The 22,684-nt window shown below is 39.6% G+C and overlaps 1 protein-coding gene and 1 pseudogene across 4 annotated transcripts in view; one reads left to right on the forward strand and one right to left on the reverse strand.

The window, feature by feature from the left end:
* Positions 1 to 22,684, forward strand: part of ITPR1 (inositol 1,4,5-trisphosphate receptor type 1) — a 354,159-nt gene that overhangs the window by 61,598 nt on the left and 269,877 nt on the right.
* LOC124906344 (uncharacterized) lies at positions 9,909 to 9,954 on the reverse strand (annotated as a pseudogene).

Here is a 22,684-nt window from a genome sequence, read left to right on the forward strand (position 1 = left end):
ACAGCATTCATGTGTGGGGAATAGGGGTGAAGAAAGATTTCGTTACTGAGAGCATGATCTGGGGATGGAACTGTACCCGCGGAATGTGTTTCCATCTGTCATAGGCTGTGCTTTTGAAACAACACACCATGTTCCATAGGGCTTCTAATAAAGGATGAAGTGTTGGAGAATTCAGTGTTTTTATTTGTAGAAAGCACCAGAATCCCATAATCAAAGTCAGGGTATTTGGGGGATTGGAATCAATTAGAGGCATTACTGAATCCAGTCATCCCTGCCTCTCCTGCTTTAAGGTGAGGAAACTACCTTAGGTGTTTCCTGAGTTAGGTGACTTAGCCAAGATTGTACAGGTAGTTATTACAGAGACAGGACTAGAAACTTGGTCTTCAGAGGCAAGCGATTGCTTTTGGCAGTTTGGTGTGTATCTTTCCAGGATGTTTCCTATTCATTTGAAGGCATATAGGCGTATATTAAAACATACATTTTTATGAATTTTCTTAAACCCGTAATTATTATTCTGCAATTTGGTTTTTTCACCTGACTCCTTTCTTAACCCATTTTTTGTTAATGTCAATAGCAAAATAATAAATAAACCATGGTATATCCAGGCAATGGAATATTACTCAGTGCTAAAAATAAGTGGGTTATGAAGCCATGAAAAGACATGGAGGAAACTTACTAATCTACAATCTAGTTTTTTTCAGCATTTGAGGATTATTCCATAGTATGGATGTGCCAGAGTGTAATCAGCCATTCTCTGAGTGATAAAAATTCAAACTATTTATTTTTTACCATCATGAGCAATACTACAATTTACTTAAAAAATTTATACAGCTCTTACTTTTGTGCCCCTTGCTATTCTAAATGCTGTACAAGTATTAACCAATTTAATCCTTGTTACTGCATAAGGAGGCTTGTCTGTCTTATAGATGAAGAAACTGAGGCAGGAAGAAATTAAACCATCTGCTTAACATCATATGGCTCGAAGTCAGGATTTGCACACAAGCACTTCAGCTCCAGGGTCTGTGCTCGTAGACACTGCGTCGTGCTGTGTTTTAGCAGTGAGATCCTTCACCTAGCTCTTCATTCACATGTGCAAATATTAACTATGTGATGGGTAGCATAGAAATAGAATTATCAAAGAAACATTTTTTCTAATTTAGTTAAAAAACTTTATTATTATTATTGTTAGGTTTGCAACAACATTGATAGGAAGGTACAGAGGTTTCTCATATGTCCCTTCCCCTACTCCACAGCCTCTCTCACTAGTAACATCCCCCATCAGGGTGCACAGCCTCTCTCTCTAGTAACACCCTCTATCAGGATGGTACATTTGTTACAATTGATGAACCTACCTAGACCCATCAGTATCACCCAGAGACCATCATTTACGTTAAGGTTCATTCTCGAAGTCATACATTTTACAGATTTGGACAAATGTATAATGGGATGTATCTATAGATCACTGAAGTATCGTACAGAATAGTTTCACTGCCCTAAGAATCTCTGTGCTCCTCCTATTTATTCTTCCCTCCCCCCAACCCCTGGCAACTACTGATTTTTTTTTTTTTATCTCCCTAGTTTTGCTTTTTCCAGAATGTGATAATGTTAGAATCTTCCACCAGGTAGCCTTTCCTGATTGGCTTCTTTCACTCAGTATGTGCATTTAAATTTCCTCCATGTCTTTTCATGGCTCTATAGCCCGTTTCTTTTCAGCGCTGAGTAATATTACATTGCCTGGATATACCACGATTTATATATTCATTCACTTACTGAAAGATATGTTGGTTGCTTCCAAGTTTTGGCAATTATGAATAAAGCTGCTATAAACATCCCTGTGCAGGTTTTTGTGTGGACTTATTTTTTCAGCTTATTTGAGTAAATACCAAGGATCATCAGAGAAACTCTTCTGAGGAGAAATGGTCAAGCATTCAGGCACAAGATGGCTTTTGAGTGCTGATAATATTATCAGTGACTAGCCTTTACTTAACATTGTGCTGAATGTTTCGTATGCAGTCTCTCATTTAGTCCTCACAACACCTAGTCAGATGGCAACTCTTTACAGAAAGGACAATGTAGTAAGATTTTTACAGCCCGATATCACCAATTTAGTGATTGACAATTGATGACTTGAGCCCAGAATCTCAACTCTTAATCACCGTGTGTATTAGTCTGTTCTCACGCTGCTAATAAAGACATACCCGAGACTGGGTAATTTATAAAGGAAAGAGGTTTAATTGAATCACAGTTCCACATGACTGGGGAGGCTTCACAATCATGGCTGAAGGTGAAGAAGGAAATAAGACACATCTTACATGGTGGCAGGCAAGAGAGAGCAGGTGCAGGGGAACTCTCCTTTATAAAACCATCAGATCTTGTGAGACTTATTAACTATCATGAGAACAGCATGGGAAAGACCCGCCTCCATGAATCAATTACCTCCCGCCAGGTCCCTCCCATGACAAGTGGGAGTTATGGGAGCTACAATTCAAGATGAGATTTGGGTGGGGACACAGCCAAACCATATCACTGTGTCATTCACCACCCCCCACTTTTTTTTGTTTTTGCTATGTTGACCAGGTTGGCCATGATAATTCCCTTTTGACTGTGTTCAGCTGGGCCTGCTTTTGATGAAATATTTTGGCTAAAGCTTTTGACAGACCTCTGAGTAGTAATCTGTGGCTTTCAAGCTTCAAGGATTATATATTTCTTTAGCACTTGGCATTGTTTGTAAACTAATTGTTTGAGGTTTCTTTTTCTTTCACATTATTTTTGCAGATTTTATACTTTTTTCCTATATCAAAGTTATAGTGTAGGGATATGACTCAGAAGCCAGATGGGGGTAGGGGTGTTCCCAATTATTCTAAATGTAAATGTAATTAGAGTTTCATGTGGATGCATACCTCCTTTCTAAAAAAATATGGTTATTTTAGCGCTCACTATAAATTCACTGGTATTCATAAATTTATGGTGAAACCCTCTAGTTATAAAGTGAGTTTTATTACATCCACATAAGCTGCTTTTTAAAACCTCCTCCTTCACTTTCTTTTCTCTTTCCTACAAGAACATCATTTGTCCCCTCAGAATAAGTTTAGTAAAGTGTTTGGACCATTCTCAAACCGGCCAACTTCTCAATTCAGTTTAAAAAATTGGAACGTATGCTTAAGAATAGATGTTCTGAGTTAGAATTTCTTCCATCATTTGACAGGTTTAACATATCTAAGATGTAGGGGGAGAATCTTAATTGGACATACAGCTACCCAATAGAATGCCTGATATGATGAAGAGTTTGAAGAAAGTTAAGGACATACTAATGGCAAATAGTGCAAGGAAAAATAAAAGCAATTAGAAACTCCAGGAAAAACTAAAACTGAGCTAAAATTGAAATGTATTCATATTACATTATTTGAGATGCATAGAAAAATATTTACATGGTTATAATATAAACACAATCAATTTATAGACAAATTACAAAGCTCGTGGTTATAAAACAGTAATGCTAATCAACCTCAATGATATGAAAGTAAAAATATAGACAATAGATGGTAAGGAATGGAAAGACGTGGAAAAGTGAAGAGGGCTCTAATGATATCAAAGTTGGGCAGTTAAGAGTTATTGTAGGTGATGCAACAGGAATTAAAGGGACTACTTTTTTAAAAAATGAAAACATACATAGGCAAGGAAATAGCAGTTTAATCTTTTTAAAAGGAAAATAATGACTAGGAAATAAAAGAACTATGAATATGTCTTCTCTGGAGAGGCATTTGGGAAAAGGAGCTCCTGGTGCAGGTACGAATCCAGAAAAATAGAGTGATACAGTGATCCCCCAAGAACCCACTAGCCTTAACAGTATTCCACATTTTACCATTTTTGTTTCATCTGTCTTTTTTCTTTTTTTTTTGCTGGTATCTTAAAAAATTCAAATACCATGCCATTTGACCCCGGATACTTCCAAACGCATCTCAGGAAAAAGGACATCTACTTAGATAACCACAATACCATTATCATACCTAACAAAACTAACAATTCCTTATTACCATATTGAATTTTGTTTGATTGAAAAAATACTTTTTAATTTTATTAGTAGTAGTATTATTTAGAGATGGGGTCTTGCTATGTTGCCTAGGCTGGTCTCAAACTCCTGGGTGCAAATGATCCTCCTGCCTTAGCCTCCTGAGTAGTTAACTACAGCATGTGCAACTGTGCCCACCTGAAAAAGTTGTTTTTTTTTTTTAATAGTTAATACATTCAAGTCAGGTTCCAAACAAAGCCCCCTCTTGTGTATGGGTGTTATGTCTCTCTAGTCTCTTCTGAGTCTTTTAATCTTGAATAGTCCTCTTTTCCTTTTTATCATGCCATTGACTTACTGAATAATATTTGATGTTAAAAATGTGTGCATGCATTAATTTGATTAAAAATTTTCAAGAAGTTTTAATTGGCTTTTAAAATTTTAATGGTTAAAAAGTATAGACAACTTTATATATTTTAAAAGTCTTATGTTCTCTGTAAGGGTATTTTTATAAAAACTTGTTTTTAATGACTAAATTTAAACATCTCAAATGCAGGAACCTTTACATATCAGTTATTCTGGGCACAATTCTTTGCATGCCAAGATGAGTAAAAATGATTATTCTCCAGTATTTTTTAGTCTAATCAGAGAGGGCAGTTTGTGGACATGCCTGCCAAAGCATTTTGCCACATGGAAGTAATTACTTTTAAAGCTAATAGTTAATGGATTCCTTACTAGGAGCCAGCCATTTTATTAAGTGTTTTAAATTATTTTTATCCATACCACACACTGTGGGAGAATCCATATAATCCACACAAGGAACCTGAAGCCCAGGGAGATTAGGTAACTTTGTGTAGGGTCACTCAGCTAGTAAATGACAGCCTGTATAGGAACAAGGTCTTTCTAATACCCTTAATCACTAAACTGTATAGGGCCTCCCAATTTGACATGCTAGTCTCCCCTCCTAAGAGGCGGCGTTATGTACTGGTTCAGAGCATGAGTTCTAGAGCCAGACTGCTTGGTTTTGACTCTGGCTCTCCCACTAAATAGCTCTGTGACTTTGGGTGACTTGCTTAACCTCTCTATGTCTCAGTTTCCTCATCTGTAAAATGGAGAAAATAGTCCTGGCTCATAAGATTAAATGGTTTCCTATTTGAAAAGACCTTGGAACAGTACTTGGCACGTCCATGAATTAAAAAATGCTTAAGTAACTGCAGCACAGAAATACTGCATTTGGCATATATATGGATTGGTGGATGCACAGATGGACAAACAAATAAAAAGTAGGGAGCAAATTGTAGGCTACTTTTTCTTATATTTCACCAATAAAAAGCAAAGGCACTTCCCCCAGTTAATGTAATAAGGTTCTCTCTCAGGTCTCAGAATGTTGTGTAGATTTTTTAAACAAAATTGTAATAAAATTTTATTGATGGTATACACATACATTAGTTATTATTTTGTAGAGTTTTTAATGCTCAATGTTGATATCAACTTCCTGACTACTATTTTTAAAGAAAGAAGGAAAAACCAAATTGAATAGTATCTGTTTTTTCCTTCTTTCTTTAAATCATGTGTTTATGGAATAATCCAGAAGCATAAGAGGCGACTTTTGTGTTAAGCATGAGGTGACTTTCATGTTAAGCTTTCTCTGGAAGAAGAGAGAACTGGATTTGGACTTTTTCTTTCAAGGAGAAAGAAAAAAATGTTAGTCACATTACAGCCTTGAAAGAATCTTCTTGAACAGTTCTGGAGGAACAGATTAACTTTGGTGCATGTAGATACAGTAGTTCAGCCTCTGCCACTTAATCTATCCCCAAGGTCTCATGGAGGGAAGAAGTAGAGGTGACAGCGACTTATTATAACGTAACTGAGTGGTTAGTGAATGTTCTAGAACTCCTATCTTGGTTTGATTGGCTTTTTGTTCATGTTCTTTTAACCTTTTGAATTTTGCTAAAAGATAGGTGCTTTGAATCCAGGATCCTAGACAACTTGGGGGCCAATGAATTGATTTCAAGATGGCCTTTTGCTGCTTTGAGGATGCAGGCTGATGACTTAGGTCCTGTGTTCATTGATTCTGCTGGAGATGTCCATAGAACGAGGAGGAGAATCTTGGGTTTAATGTCTCCTGATTTATTTTTAGCAGCTGACCTGGCTAGCTGTGATTTGCTAATTGTCTGTATGTAGTATATGTTTGTAAGTGCTGAGTCGTTTTGAATAAATAGTCTCATATGAAGTGAGATGATCTACTTGGCCTAGTAGCTGATTCTTTCTGGAATTGATAATGACGAGAGTGAAATTCTATCTTAACAAGTGCAGCAGCTGCCCTAATGGAGAAGGACGACGTGGAATTTCCCATTGTCTACCTGTACTGTCCTAAAAATATACGACCAATTCCAGTGACTGATAATGATATTGAGACCGAGTGGTTAATAATGGCTCAAGAAATCCCAGCTTGATTTGACCAGCTTTCCAGCTTTTTTCTTTGGCAGGTGGGGAGTGGGGGATTAAATCTGTTGACTTTTGCAAATACATAATTTTATAGAATATGTGTCCTAAGAACGAAACTCACTACATTTCTAGGTTCAAACTTACTTTTTTGGGTCCAATGCTCAATATAGGACAAAAAAGAAGAGGAAAGGAGAAAATAAGAAAGAATGTATATTAGTTAACTCAGATTTTTGGATCTGGGTGGATTTCGGATGGTGTTAAATTGGCCTGGGGACTTCTTTATTATTTTTTTTAATCGTAGCATTGGTTTGTAATATTCATGGTTTAGCCTGAATGACTTAAAGGATTTATTTTTTAATTTAACGTGGGTTAAAAGAACATGAGCAATAGACCTGCCAATAACTATTTTAAAATATAAACAGATAACTGTTTGTTTTGCTCAAAGGTCACATTGAGGATTCAGAGCTCATGACTCAGGATGGCTATTTTTCTTAGAGGAATGATTTAGACAAGTTGAATTGAATAGCTCCTAGGCCACTGACATTTATTCAATTTTGTCTTTAACATTTGTTTACTTTTTGAACCTGTAAAACAGGGGTGTCCAATCTTTTGGCTTCCCTAGAAGAAGAATTAGAAGAAGAATTGTCTTAGGCCACACAGAAAATACACTAACAACAGCTTATGAGCTTAAATAAATAAATAAATAAATAAATGCAAAAAAAAAATCTCATAATGTTTTAAGAAAGTTTACAGATTTGCGTTGGGCTGCATTCAAAGCCATCCTGGGCCGTGGGTTGGACAAGCCTGCTGTAAAAGACTGGAATTTAGATACAGCTCATCAAAATATCTTGCTATTCTAAAAGTAATTCTCAATTTCTATTTTTTCTAAGAAAAATTATTAGACAGTAATGTTAAGTTGCAGCAAGTAGGTTTGCATTTTGGATAGTAATAGTCCCAATTTTATTAAAAGGTTGGCTTATGATAACCATAGATTTCTTAATTTTAATTTTATTTATTTTGTTTGCACATACTATTTTACTGATAGTATGTGCAAAAAGATAGTGAGTGAAGCAGTTGGACTAATTGTTTACACTAAGATTACTTAGGAAGGACTATCTGGCATGTTTATATTACATTCAGCAAATTGTTTATAGTAGGGATCATTTAAATATGCATTACCAATATCTCAGGTTTTAGATTTGCCAACCCTGTATGTTGAGATTTTCCAGGATCTTATAATTGCACCGGCTAGTGGTTCTCCCTTGAATAAACTGCAAGACTTTGCACTTAGCTAAAAATGACTCACCTTTGAAGGTGGTACGCATTCATTAAAAAAAAAAAAAATCAAGTGCGTGCAGTGCACTGTGCACCATGCTAAGCACTGGAGATAGTGTTGAGTGAGACAAATGTAGTCTCTGCCCCCATAGAACTTACATTCTAGTGGAGTGAGACAGACACCAAGAAGCAAACAATACGTAATGAACAAGATTACATCAGAGTGATAAACACTGGAAAGAATATAAAATAAGGAGGATGTGATGCAGCATGACTGGGGGTGGGATGGGTGGGCCAGCACTAGATAGGGCAGTTAGGGAAATCTTCTGGAGGAGGTAACATAGAGGTTGACACTTACAAGTTTAGGAAGAGCTGGCCACTTGTATCTCTGGGGACACAGTATGCTAGCATCAGGAACACCAAGGGTAAAAGCTATGATGTAGGTACGTGCAGTGTTGGAGAAACAGTAAGAAAGCTGAACAGCAGGGAGCCTATTGGTGTGTCTTGGCCCATGCACACCTCAGGGAGTAGTCAAGACCATGTAAAAATTAATTTGTTGGCTGGGTGTCACACCTGTAATCCCAGCACTTCAAAAGGCCAAGGCAGGAGGATTGCTTGAGCCCAGGAGTTCAAGACCAGCCCGGGCAACATAGGGACACCGTACGTCTACAAAGAATAAAAAAAATTAGCTGGGCATGGTGATGCACACCTGTGGTCCCAGCTACTCAGGAGGCTGAGGTAGGAGGATTTCTTGAGCCTGGGAGATCGAGGCTGCAGTGAGCTGGGATCATACCACTGCACTCCAGCCTGGGTGACAGAATGAGACCCTGTCTCAAAAAAAATAAAAAAGCAATTTGTCCTCTCTGTATGCATATTGAGAATTATTACATAAGTTGGGTTTTTATTAGCCACGTGAAGTTTGGGTGATAAAAATTTGATTTCCTACGAAATTGCAGAGTACGTGTTTCTGGTACCCTGAGTTGTGTTGATGTTCAGTGCTCCCTTTACTCTCTCTTTGGCTTCAAGATTGAACGGTGCTAGATTTTTTCATGCGGATATTTTTGCGTACCTGTGACTCCACAGACCAGTGTGCTTGTGTGCAGGATTTGGTGGGTTCATGGTTGTTTATTAAACAAAACTAATCCTATATAGAGGTTTTATTCGTTTGCTAGGGTTGCTGCAACAAAGCACCACAAGCTGAATGGCTTGAACGACAGAAATTTATTGTCTCACCTAAATCAAAGTGTCAGCTGAGTTGATTTGTTTTCTTTTCTTTTTTTTTTTTGAGACAGAATCTCACCGTGTCACCCAGACTGGAGTGTAGTGGCGCGATCTTGGCTCACTGCAACCTCCACCTCCGGGGTTCAAGCGATTCTCTTGCCTCAGCCTCCTGAGTAGCTGGGATTACAGGTGTGTGCCACCATGCCCGGCTAATTTTTGAATTTTTGTAGAGACGGGGTTTCACCATGTAGGTCAGGCTGGTCTCGAGCTCCTGACCTCAGCTGATCCACCCGCCTCGGCCTCCCAAAGTGCTGGGATTACAGGCGTGAGCCACCGCACCCGGCCGGGATTGGTTCCTTCTGAAGGCATAGGAAGAAATCCGTTATGCCTCTTGCCTGGCTCCTGGTGGTTGGCGGGCAGTCTTTGGTGTTCCTTGGCTCTGCTGTATTTCTTCTGCCTTCATGTTTGCGTGTGTTCTTTGTACAGGTGTGGCCTTCTCCAAATTTACCCTTTTTATAAGAATCTAAGTCATGTCGGAATAGGTCCCACCCCGCTCCAGTATGGCCTCATCTTAACTAATGACAACTGTAATGAACGAATTACCAAATGAGTCACGTTCTGCATGTTTTTGTCCTCCTGAAATTCCTATGTTGAAACCTGATAACCAAGGTAGTGTTAGGAGCTGGGTACTTTGAGAGGTGATTGGGATTAGTGCCCCCTTGTTCCTCCCACCATGGGAGGACACAGCAAGAAGGTGCCATCTGTGAACTAGGGCCCTCACCTGACTCTGAACCTGCTGGCATCTTGATCTTGGAATTCCAGGCCTTCAGAACTCTGAGAAATACATTTCTGTTGTTTATGGGCCACTTAATTTATGATATTTTTTTAAGCTGCCTGAACTGTCTCAGACACTTTCTGAGCGACTGAGGGTTAGGACTTCAACACAGGAGTTTAAAAAAGGGGTTTTCCAGCGCTAGACAAATTCTAAAAGAGCTGTAACACTCAGCATAGGAATTTTACAATGGGGACGCAGTTCAGTTCATAAAAGAGGTGCATATAATTTGGCTAAACTCATTGTCTCTCACAAATGAAAATACGGACAATACCTGCAAACATTTTGAAGCTGTTTAACCCATTTTTTGCTCAGACACCTGGAAGCCACGGCCCCTTTTTTATTTAATAACATCTGGTGTGTACTGAGCATTGGTAGGCTCCTCTGTGATAAGATCTTGAATGTGTCACCTTGTTGATTCCTCATAAGCACCCTCTGGAGTTTGTTCTGTGAGCAGCCTCACTTGACAGTTGAGGGAACTGAGGCTTAGTTCCAGAAAGAACCTTCAGCTCATCACCGCAGCCCTAGTTTCAGCATGATTTTTCTTACTGCTAGAGTTGATAGAATAGTCACAGCCACTAGCACTGGAGCCTGCCCTAGCCACTAATAGCACCTCCACGTAAAAGGTTTCTCATTGTGAGGTTAGTTTCTTATCTTCCTAATTCTACCACCTGGTCCATTCAATGCCTCCCTTGTTCTTTATCCCTGAGTTTATGTAATACGCAGCAGTACTGAGAAGATTAATTAGTTAATACTTGTGAAGCACTTTGAGGATGAAAAGCTCATGAACACTTAAAGTTAAATTAAATTTTGCCTCCTAGTGCCAAGAAATAAACAGTCTTTCTCCTTCCTGGTTGGGGTCAGCATCTCCCCTTGGCCCGCAGGAGAGTGTGTTCCCACAGAGAGCAGGCTGTATTGATTGTCTCCCCAAGACGAAGGTCGGAATGGCTACTAATTCTCTTTTGAACTAGATTGGATTCTGCAAACAATTGAACAGCTGACTCTATGCTAAGTGGAAATGTGATTGATATTGAAACAGAATTAAAATTTCAACTTCTAGGGAATTAAATTGAGTGCAACTTCAGAAATTTGGAGATGAATGTCCAAGTGGTTTGAAAAGCGATTTTCATGTTCCACTAAGTATATTAATATCAAAAGTGATATTGATGTTTGAGAACATTGGGCTGCAGTTGTTTCCTTGTCCTTTTCATTTATTGCCATTTTGACCTAAGGTTTGTGCCAGGAAGTTCAGCTTCACTCCTAGTGAATCTGAGTGGCGTAATGCTGGCCCCGTCTTGCTCATTGATTTTCCTGGTAGCCAAATCCCTGTACAACGAACTGTAACATATCCTCAAATGAACTGCATAAAAGTATGTTGGAGATGGAGAGGAGATCTATAAATTCAGAGGACAAATAAATCAAAAAGTGAATGACTTGTAAGAATTCATAAGCCAAATTCAGAGCCAATTTGGAAACTGAACCTCAGATTTTTCCAGGGCTGTATTCATTCCTTCCCCTGTTGGATAGATCTTCTAAGAGCCACCCTCAACTCGTGAGTCTGATAATTGCTTTTCAGATGGACAGTTACCTTAATGAACTCTGACTTTATGTATGAGTAGTAGTTTGTTGCACAGGAGTTGTTTTCCCAGAAGGTATTGACCTTTATTCCAGTCTCTACTATGAGCAAACCTCTATCTGTTGAATCAGCTCCTGGAACCTCAGCTCTGAATAAATAAAGAGCTTAAAGGTAAGGAATAGGTGGGTCAGTTCAGCCAAGTAAGGCCAGATAGAATTAGAGTTGAGAGCCAGGTCAGAGTTGAGAGTGGGGAGAAATAGCCAGGACTATTTGGCCCAGGAAGCCTGAATGGGGACACATGCACACACACACACACACACACACACACACACACACACACTGAAACACTCTGCAAAAATTGAGGTGTTTCCCAGGTTCCTAACCTCCTGAATGCAATGCAGATTCTTTCCTCCACCTTCCCTTCATTGTTCCCATACAACTCTGGCCTGTAATCAGCCCAACCTGGGCCTGGGCCTTGGCCACTACTAGATATTCTGTTGGCACCAAGAGTAGTCAGGACCAGTTTTCCCTCTCTTAATTTCCTCCTCAGGAGAGTTGAGTGTTTATCATATTCTCTTCTTTTCCTCTCTCTTTCTCTGTTCAGCTTAGGCAATCTTCCATTCTGCAGTCTTTCTCCTAGCTGTGTATCTTGAGAGGTAATGCAATGTAGGTTAAGACTGCCTGAGTTGAATCCTGGCAGTGCCACTTATGACTTGAATGACCTCAAGAAAGACATTTAATCTCTTTACCTCAGTTTCCCCATCTGTAAAATGGGGATAATAATACCTATTTCAGTGGAATGTTGTGAGAGTTAAACAAGTTGATATGTGGAAAGCTCGTAGGGTGTGGTCTGTAATGTGTTCAATTAGCATTAATTGAAGAGAAGTGGAGTCTCCCCTTCAATTCTTACCTGAGTAACACTGGACAATTTCATACTTTGTTGTCACTATTTTTCTTTAGCTCTTACTCTTTTTTATCCATTCCTGTAGCACTAGTGATCAGGATAAAAGACGTGATTGCTAATAGAGTAATACCTTGTTGAATTTGTGTAATGTTCCAGGTTGGAGGGGGGATGATAAAGCCTAAGAAGACCAAGTCCTTTTTTCTTGCAACTTTAAATTGTTGTAGGAAAGGAGACATGTTGATAATGGTTTGCAGTATAACATGGAACATGCTAGACTCCAAGTCGAAACTGAGATTAGAGATAGGCGAATGAAGATGACAGTCAACCACGTGCGGTGGGCTTGGGGGCTGAGGTGGGTCATGGAGGGCTTTATAGGGGAGGTGACGCTTGAGCTAGTTTTTTTTGGTTTCTTTTTTGAGACGGGGTCTTACTCTGCCACCCAGGCTGGAGTGCATGCTGCCATCTTGGCTCACTGCAACCTCCTCCTGGGCTCAAGTGATCCTCCCACCTCAGCCTCACGAGTAGCTGGGACTACAGGCATGCGTCACCACACCCAGCTAATTTTTTTGTACTTTTAGTAGAGATGGGATTTCACCATGTTGTCCAGGCTAGTCGTGAATTCCTGAGCTCAAGCGATCCACCTGCCCTGGACTTCCACAGTGTGGGGGTTACAGGTGTGAGCCACCGTGCCCCACCTTGAGCTAGTTCTTAAAGGTGTGAGAGGTTCAATGATAGACACTATCAACACTCCCAGTAAGTCACGTAATTAAGGTGAGAGTGCTGCTCAGTAGATTATTTATCAGGTATGTGGTCACTGATTTGAAATCTATGCCAAAGTCGGTGCAGTGAGGTGGGGATGGGAGAGCCTGAAGGCGCAGACCTGAGAAGAGAAGGAGATTAAGAGTCTGTGATTTTTACATAGTTGGGCCCTGGAGGCCAGGGTCATTACATAGAGTTTGTGTTAAAACTTTCTGGTAGCTAGTGATGTTGTTGTGGAGAACCTCAGAAGACAAAATTAAAAACTTTGATGGGAACTGAGACAAAGTAAAAACTAGGCATACTCTACTGCTGAGATCCTTACTGTCTTTTAGGACTGCATGCTTTCATCTTTTTCTATTTTAACTTCTCTTTTATTCTTCTCCCCTTTGCTCACTCCACAGAGCTTTGCTGAACACCTATTATGTGCCAGATGCAGGGGATCCCAAGTTGGGTTAAGGCATTATTTCTTCCCTGGAGCTAACCTCACCCAAAAGGGGAAGATAGTTGTGTGAAGAACTAATTGACAGTGTGAAGTGTGGCTGGTAATATAGGGAGCTGTGTGGGAGGAGGAGGTGTGTCTGGGCTAAGAAGGCAGGGATGGCTTCAAGATCTTGAAAGTCTTGCCACATGGATAGATAGTGACCAGGTAGACAGAGGCACTCCAGCAAAGGTAACGCAGCCTGCAAAATCAAGGAGATATGGAAGTCCATAGTTTGAGTAAGGAATGAGCCATGTTGTGTGGCTGGAATAGAGGGAGCCAGGTGTCAGGCGGATATGGTTCCAGATGAGGCTGAAAATGTTGATGAGGGCTCTATGAGTGTATTAGGCTTTTCTTGCATTGCTATAAAGAAATACCACTGAGACTGGGCAATTTATAAAGAAAAGAGGTTTAATTGGCTCACAGTTCTGCAGTCTGTATAAGCATGGTGCTGGCTTGTGCTTAGCTTTTGGGGAGGCCTCAGGGAACTTTTAGCCATGGTGGAAGGTATGTCACATGGCAAAAGCAGGAGCAAGAGAAGAATGGGGAGGGGTCACACGCTCTTAAACGACCAGATCTCTAGAGAACTCACTCCATCCATCACCTCCCACCAGGCCCCACCCCTCACACTGAGGATCACATTTCAGCATGAGATTTGGGTGGAGACAAATATCCAAACTCTATGAATGGGGCAGGTTCTTTGATGCTCTCTTCAAGGCGCATGGACTTTTATCTTGTAGAATCCAGGGGGATCCCATGAAAGTTTTTTAAGCTGGAAAGTGACATCATTAAATTTGCCTTATTTTTATTTTAAAGAAAGTTAATTTTGGTGACAGTGTGGAAGATGTGTTTCCTTATATTTGGCCATATAAAATATAAAATTTGATTTTTAAAACATTTTAAAACAGTTTCTAGTATTCTAACAGTATAACAGTATGTTTAGATTTATAAACAAAGGACATTTTATGTTTTTATAAGTCAACTCATTTTTATGACTACGTTTTCAATGGAAAAATGAATATTGAGCGTCAACAAACAAAACATTGTGTGACAAGCTTGTGCATTGCTGATTCTCTGTGTTGGCCTCATCCATAAACTAAAGCCTCTTAAACTCAAATCTCTGATGCCTTTTAGAAATGCCTTTTACTTTCTTTTTGTGTAGTAAGAGGGATCATGGAACCTATGATCTAAAAACTGGGAAGCAATGATGCCATGTGTCTGCAAGCATAGGTAACACAGCTGTTTTAGAGATGTCTTTAAAAGGGTACATGAGTGTTTTGATATTTGAGAACAGATCTTCCAGCTTGTCATGGGAGTTGCATAGTTTTAGAAATCAGTCCTTAACCTTAAACTTTGTTCACATTGAACTCTAGAATAGCAGTGGTTTTTGAAGAGCAGTTGTTGAATGCATTTATGCATATTTAATTTTTTTGAATGGCTATTAAAGACCTAAGACAATTATATTCAGGTTTCAAGGAAAGAACTTCTTGTGGGAGTTTAACATTTTTAAATTGTTGGTTGGTGGAGGGCTGGTATTTACTGATATTCTTGAGTTAATGAGTCCCAACTGTAATAGCCACAATTGTGCTGCCCTTCACTTTGGAGAATTGCGTATTTTTACACTCATACTTTGAGGCTTACTATTTCAGTATAGAAAACAAATATAGTTGCCGAAAAAAAATGATTAGATTTCAAACTTTATCTGAGGCAAATGTGAGGTCATTAATTAGACTTCTTTCAAACTTCTTAAGTTCCCGAGCCTCATGATATTATCAAATTAAAAGGACAGACTATTGAAATGTTAATTTCAGTTCATCATGAATGTTTGCACTTCTCATAAAATAGCCATTTCTGTGTTAAAAATGTCTTATAATCTGTGAATAGCATTTAAGAAAGCAATGTGAATGTGAGTGTATTTAAAATCATCCTCTAAGTAATGCTTTTGGAAGCCAGTGTACAGTCTGACCTAACAATTACAAGTAGACCATGTAACCACTCATTGAAGATGAATGATGTTTTTATGCTACAAGAATTAAAGACTGTTTCTTAAAAGAAAACAAGAGACTGCTTTTTTAGTTTTTAACCACCTGTACAGCAAATCATGAATAGGAGAATCTGAATGCCTGATAGCCTTCTGTATTATTTTGCTTATTTATATATTTATTTTACAATAAACTTTAAAATGATATTTAATTCTACAGTAGCTGTGGATAGATCAACCACATTCTGTATAATCTAGATTTTTCTTAAAGCTCCCTTTTCTTGCCCTATCAATTACTTACCGTCCATATTTGGCCATTTTGGGGAGCCAAGTTGTCCCCACGTATCAGTGGTGATAAATGGATCAGAAGAAAGTTGATCAAATCCAAGTGTGTTTTTATATATGATGCATCAGTTATCTTTGACACATAGCAGTTCCAAAACCTCAGGCAGACACAACAAGAAGTGCTTTTTTGTACATGTGTCTGTGGTCACAGAGGTTCTGCTGATCTTGGGTGAGCTTACCCATGTGCCTGAGGGTTGGCTTGCTGTTGGACAGAGTGAGGTGACTGAATGACTTGGCTCTGCTCCATCTGTCTCTCATTCTTCAGCAGTTGTGGCAATGACAGTGGCTCTAGAGAGCTAGCCCCGTGCACAAGTCCGTGAAGCCTTTGTTTGTGTCATATCTGCTGACCAAAGCATGTCTCTTTGGGCTGAGTCCAAAGTCAAGGGGCAGAGCCGGCCTGCCCACCTATGGTAAATTGGCATTACAAAGTTTCATGTCAGAGGGCATGGATACAAGGAGGAGTGAAGAGCTGGGACTAAATGATGCAGTTCACTACATAAGATTTAGAATTTTTATTGATAACACGTAATTTCACTTCTTTTTCTTTTTTTCTCTTCTCTTCTCTTCCCTTTTTTTCTTTTGTTTCTTTGGAAAGGGTCTTGCTCTGTCACCCAAGCTGGAGTGCAGTGGCATGATCACAGCTAACTGTAGCCTTGACCTCTGGGGCTCAAGCAATCCTCCCGTCAGTCTCCCGAGTAGCTGGGACTACAGGCACATGTTACCACGCCTGGTTTAAGTTTTTAAAATTTTATGTAGAACTGCTACATTGCCCAGGCTGGTCTTGAACTCCTGGGCTCAAGCAATCCTCCTGCCTGGGCCTCCTAAAGTGCTGGGATTATAGGTGTGAGCCACCACACCCGGCCTGATTTCACTTCTTACCTACCACACGTGTTGTCTCCCTTCTTTAGGCCTTCATCAGGGAATATTTGGGGGTAAAGAACAGAAACCCACTCAAGTTGCTTGAAGATTACCATAAACAGAACAGGGAAGCTCACAGGCCTATAAAAATAGGAAACCTAGAATGGGCAGGTCTCACCAGAACTGGGACTGCTAGATGTTAGACTTTGAGACCCTTGTTTCATCTCTGCTCCTCTCTGTTTCTCCCCCTCTGCCCCACTCCCTACTCTTATGACCCCTTGTGGCCACATCAATTTTAATTGTATGCAGTTGTGTGGCTCAAGCACCTACTATGAATTTAGGGATATGAATTAGACCTCACTGTCTGAGTCTAATTCATTTCCCTAAATCCTAGCTCATGGATTAGTTATTCCTGAGTCTACTTGTGAGTCTCCTAGAGCTGAGTGCTCAGTCTTCATCTCTTTCTTTACTTTGCTTATTGAGCGGGTCCAGTCCTATGACTTGAAATGCTGTCTTGATGCTGATGACTCATAAGTTTCTGTCTTCAGCCTAGACTTCTCCCTTGAACTCCAGACTCACATATACTACATCCTACTCCACATGTCCATTTGGATGTATCTCATAGGCATCTCAAACTTACACCCACATAGACCACTTGATTTCCTCCTCATAATTTGCCTCTCCCAGTCTTTTCTCAGTAAATGGCAATTTCAGTTTTCCAGTTATTTAAATGTCGGAATCAAATCCTTGGTTAAATATTCATACTTTAAAATTATATGCATATATTATAGTTCTAATATAGTATATATATTATAAAAGAACGCAAATTTGCAAGCTTCATGTGACACTGATTAAGTAAACTAGATCTTTAATGTCTGGCTAATTAGGATGCTTCATATTTTTATTTACTAATATCACAAGCATAATAGATAATGTGAGTTTCATTTTTTAAAAATTGTGGTAAAAACAGATAATACAAAATTTACCATTTTAACCATTTTTAAGTGTAAAGTTCAGGAGTGTTAGGCATATTCACATTGCTGGGAGACAGATCTCCAGAACTTTTTCATCTTGCAGATCTGAAGTTCTGTTCGCATTAAACAGTAAGTCCCCTTTTCCTGCTCTTCCCAGCTGCTAGTAACTACCATTCTACATTCTGGTGTCTATGAATTTGACTACTTTAGATACCTCATATAACTGGAGTCATATTGTATTTGTGTTTTTGTGACTGGCTTATTTCCCATAGCAGAATGTCTTAATAGTTGATCAGTGTTGTAGCATGTAACATGATTTCCTTCATTTTTAAGGTGAAATAATACTCCACTGTATGTGTACACCATGTTTGGTTTATCCATTCATTTATCACGGGGCATCTGGGTTGCCTCTACCTTTTGACGATTGGGATTAGTGCTGCTATGACCATGGGCGTGCAAATCTCTTTGAGACCCTGCTTTTAATTTCTTTGGCTATATACCAGAACCGGAATTACTAGATTATATAGTAGCTCTACTTTTGATTTTTTGAGGAAACTCCATACTGTTTTCCATTACAGTTGTTTCGTTTTATAATCTCGCCAACAGTGTACAAGGGTTCTAATTTCTCCACATCTATCCAAACCTTGGAGTCTTTTTTTGGCTTCTCTATTTCATGCCCTAATCTAGTCCCTCAGTAAATCCTCTTGACTTATATTTGAAATATATCCTACATCTGACTGCTTCCCATCTATCACTGTCACCTTTTTCTGAGTCACCATTGGCTCTTGTCTGGACTATGATACTAGTCTTCTCACTGGTCTCCTGGTCTCAATCCTTGCCCCCCTACAGTCTGATCTCCATAGAACAACCAGAGTAGTAATTTAAGAATATAAGCTACATATTGTCATTCCTCTGCTTAAAACTTTCTAATGACTCCCATCACACACTGAGGATAAAATTCAAAGTTGTTTCCTTGGTTTATAATGTCTTAAAAATTCTCATTCCTTTGCTTGCCTGGCTTCAGACACACTGGTTTTTGTACTTGCCTTAAACACACTAAGATTGTCCCTGCCTCAGGGCCTTTGTCCTCGATGTTTCCTCCACCTGGGTGTCTGTATTCACAGACATTTGCCCTTCACAGAGGCCTTTCCAAACAGCCTTCTCTTAAAAAGGTACTCACTGTCAACTTTTTCTATTCTCTTACCGTACTTTCTTTTCCTCTGTGCACTTGCCACTTTCTGACATCGTAGTGTATTTATTTGTGACTTTCTTATGGCTGTTTTCCCCAAGAGAATGTAAACACCATGAATACAGGGATTCTATCTCAGCATCTGAAAGAATGTCTGATACTGAAAAGATGCTCAATAACTATTTGTGGAATGAGTGCGTAAAATAATATTTTGTAGCCATGTGTTTAAGCAGCTTTGGCCATGGCGACAGAGGTGCCCCATGTACACATGGCGCCTTAGGTGGAGGTGGTTGCCCAGGAAAATGCTGTAATCTGTCTACCATTTCTAGCCAATTTCTCCAGCTAGAAATAATTTATGGGCTATTATTGTTCATGAGGTCTAAGTGGGAAAGTATAGATGCCTTATCTTCTTTTTTTTTTTTTCAGCCTCTTATTGAAAAAAAAATTCAGGGATTGATGGGAATTATTTGCCTCTGCCCTTTTGGCCCCAGATCATCCTTCCTGAGTCTTGGCTGCTCCTTATTACCTGCAGTCACATTTCCTGTTGTAATGTGAGGGCAATGCTTCGTTTGCACAATGAATGCCGGAAATGGATTTTAAAGCATTATAAAGCAAAGCCAGAAATTCCTCCTGCAGGGGAGATGGTCGGTTGACAAGTCTGTGAATTATATAATAGAATCTCCTCTTACTCTCCTTGTAAAATATACCAAAATATCAAAAAACAATGGGCTTTTCTTCCCAGTTTGTTTGGGATCATACTGGCATCCTCCTGTATTTTGGGGCTGTGGGATTAGAATCATGTATAACGGCTTTGTTTTCCCCCGGCTAGGTTTGTGATGAAGTTGTTCTGATGGAAACAGTCAGTTAATTCTAAAGGATCTGCACACGCTTGCTGAGCAGAGTACTTCTACCTTAAATGGTCTTCCATGCTGTGGGAGAGAGCTCCTGATGCGTCAGTCACAGTGATAATGTCATGGGATTGGAACATCAATTTTGCCTGTTCCCACCGCCTCATGGCCTGGAGAAGTCTATTTCAGTCTTACTAGTCTGTTAGAAGCAACAGTAATTAAAATGGATCTGCAGGCTTCTGGGGTCTTTGGATAGGTAGCCAGAGGTCTATCAATTGCAAGAGATTCAAAGATGATTGCAAATGCAGTGTGAGGGACACTCCCTGAGGCCCTCCTAGAGTGCAAGTGATGCTTGGCTTTTTGTACTGGATGGTGCTTACACATGGGTGTACGTTTATGAAAATTCAGGTTCTCTACTTATGATTTCTGTACTTTTCTTGCAAATATGTTATATTTTAGTGAAAAAGACTTTCTTAGGAAAACAAACCAACCATAGTTTCTACCTGCAAGAAGATCTCCTGGTGGAGATACTCAAATAGAAGATCACACAGTCAACTTAGTGCCAAGATTAAGCAAAGCGTATTATGGGAGCACAAATAAAAGAGATCACACTCATCTTTGGGGGAGGATAGAGGAAAACCAGAGAGAAGGTTTAAATGGGATTTATCTATCATCTTTTCCTGGCTTCCTCCATATAGAATAAGGATTTATATGAGGAAACCAGAGTAAATGGGTTCAATCCTGATTCTGTGGTAGCATGCTTGGAAGTTAAAATATGCTTGGAAGATAAAATATTGCCTTAAAAAGCAGAAAATTTATTAAATATCATCACCCTCAGGGAGTTTGTTGATGATTGTCTCTCCAGACCTGTCTCACTGTTGGCATGGATAACTAGATTGATGAATGACTAAGAGCTGAAACACAAGACTGTGTATTTCTCATCAATGTGTTTTGTTATTGTGAAATATTTAATATTATTAAGAGCTGGCAGTGACCCTGTGTTGGAGGAGGGTAGGGTGTGTTTGTGTAAGAGCAGTGAGAAAGTAATGGCTAAAAAAAGTTGATGTCTTCTTTAAAAAAAAAAAAAAATGTTGCCAGCAGCTGGATGCAGTGTCTCATGCCTGTAATCCCAGCACTTTGGGAGGCTGAGGCAGAAGCATCGCTTGAGGCCAGGAGTTCAAGACAAGCCTGGGCAATATAGTGAGACCTCATCTCTACAAAAAATAAAAAATTATCTAGGCATGGTGATGCATGCCTGTAGTCCCAGCTACTTGGGTAGTTGAGACAGGAGGATCGCTTGGGCCCGGGAGGTCGAGGCTGCAGTGAGCCATGGTCATGCCACCACACTCCAGCCTGGGTGGCAGACTGAGATGCTGTCTCAAAAAAAAAAAAAAAAGAAATGTGGCTGGTGATAAGAGATTTATAGTCTAATGAGGCACAAAGTCGTTTTATTGTTTGTTTTCTTTATAATGAATGAACAAAATCATAATAGGCAATAATTAATATAGGAAACATTGCAAGGTGGTATAAAATGAATTTCTTTACTGTTAAGTACATTGAGCTCATAGAAGGAACTGATGAATAGGGAATGGAACTGCTGGGCGATTGGAGTTGTTAGAGTAGATAGTACCCAAATTGGTCTTTGGACAAATAGGTTGGAACCAGACCTGAATGTGCATAAGAATATCTTGGTAACAAGTTAAAAATGTAGATTCCTGGGTCCAACCCCCAGATTCTGTGGGTCTGAGGTGAGGCCTTGGGTTATGGATCTTCACAAAGAGGTTTAGGTGTAGGTGGTTCAGACAATACCATGAGAGATAATGACTAGGAGTCTTGGCAGGGAGAGAGGGCAGGATTGGTGGAAGGCAAATGCTTGGAAGCAAAAAAGGATAGCATTCAGTGAAGAGGCAGACTCATTCCTGAGACAGAAAAAGAAAATTTATCTAGAAACAATAAATATGCCAGGCAGCTCCTAGCGTTGGACGGACTGATGGCAAAACGGGTCATGGCAATGGAGCCCGTTATCCGTGGAATGCTACAATCTGTAGCTAATGTTTTTATTTGCAGGTTCCTTCAGAACGAAGTCAATATTTAAATGAAAATATAATTCTTGAATAATTTGCACTTTAACATGTGGAGGCTGGAACATACCTTAAAGGTTATTTTCCTATTCAACCCTGTCATTTAAGAGAAAGGAATGGGAGGTAGTAATTCATGAGGGATCAGCGGAGATTTGGCTGAAGTTCAGAGATTTCCTGAAGGGTCATAAACACTTATTTGTTTATTCATCAAAACTTATTAAGCACCTCCTCTAAACACCCAGTCCTGGGCTAGACCCCGGGATCCTGCTGAAAAGAAGAAAATCAATACAGCCTTGCCTTTGGGAGTTGACAGTCTAATGAAGGTGTCAGTTGTAGAACAAGTATGGGAATTTTTCCTACAATGAATTGTGTTCCCCACGCTGCCAGTTATATGTGGTAGAGTTGCATTCCACAGACCCCCCTACTGAATACACTTTTATTGAAATGAGGGCCCTGGGCACATGATGACACACGATGGCACAGGACGAGCCACACGGCTCTCTGTGCAGCTGCAGTGTTTGAATGGCTTTCTAGTTGGCCCTGAGTTCTTTCATTGTATGCAATCTGCTGTGATTTATTTGGATCGTGTACAGCAGTGCTTTTTAAACTTTAATTTGCAAGGCCATCACCCAGGGCTCTTGTTAAAAATACAGATTCTGTAGGTCTAGAATAAAAACTGAGGTGCCCTGTATTTTCACCAAACTTGCAGGGATGCTGACGTTGCTAGCAGGCGAACCATGCTGACTAGTGCTAGATGTCTGGAGAGAGCAGAAGTCTTTTGGGTCACTGAAGATCTCCTAAATTGAGATCAGGTTGGTTTTTGTTAGTGTTGATCAACTGATTTGTATTTTTTCAGCTTATAGCCACAAGGCCTACTATATATAGTAGCTTATAATAACGAGGTGCATT

The sequence above is a fragment of the Homo sapiens genome, chromosome 3 (genome assembly GCF_000001405.40).
Source record: "Homo sapiens chromosome 3, GRCh38.p14 Primary Assembly".
Lineage (NCBI taxonomy): Eukaryota > Metazoa > Chordata > Mammalia > Primates > Hominidae > Homo > Homo sapiens.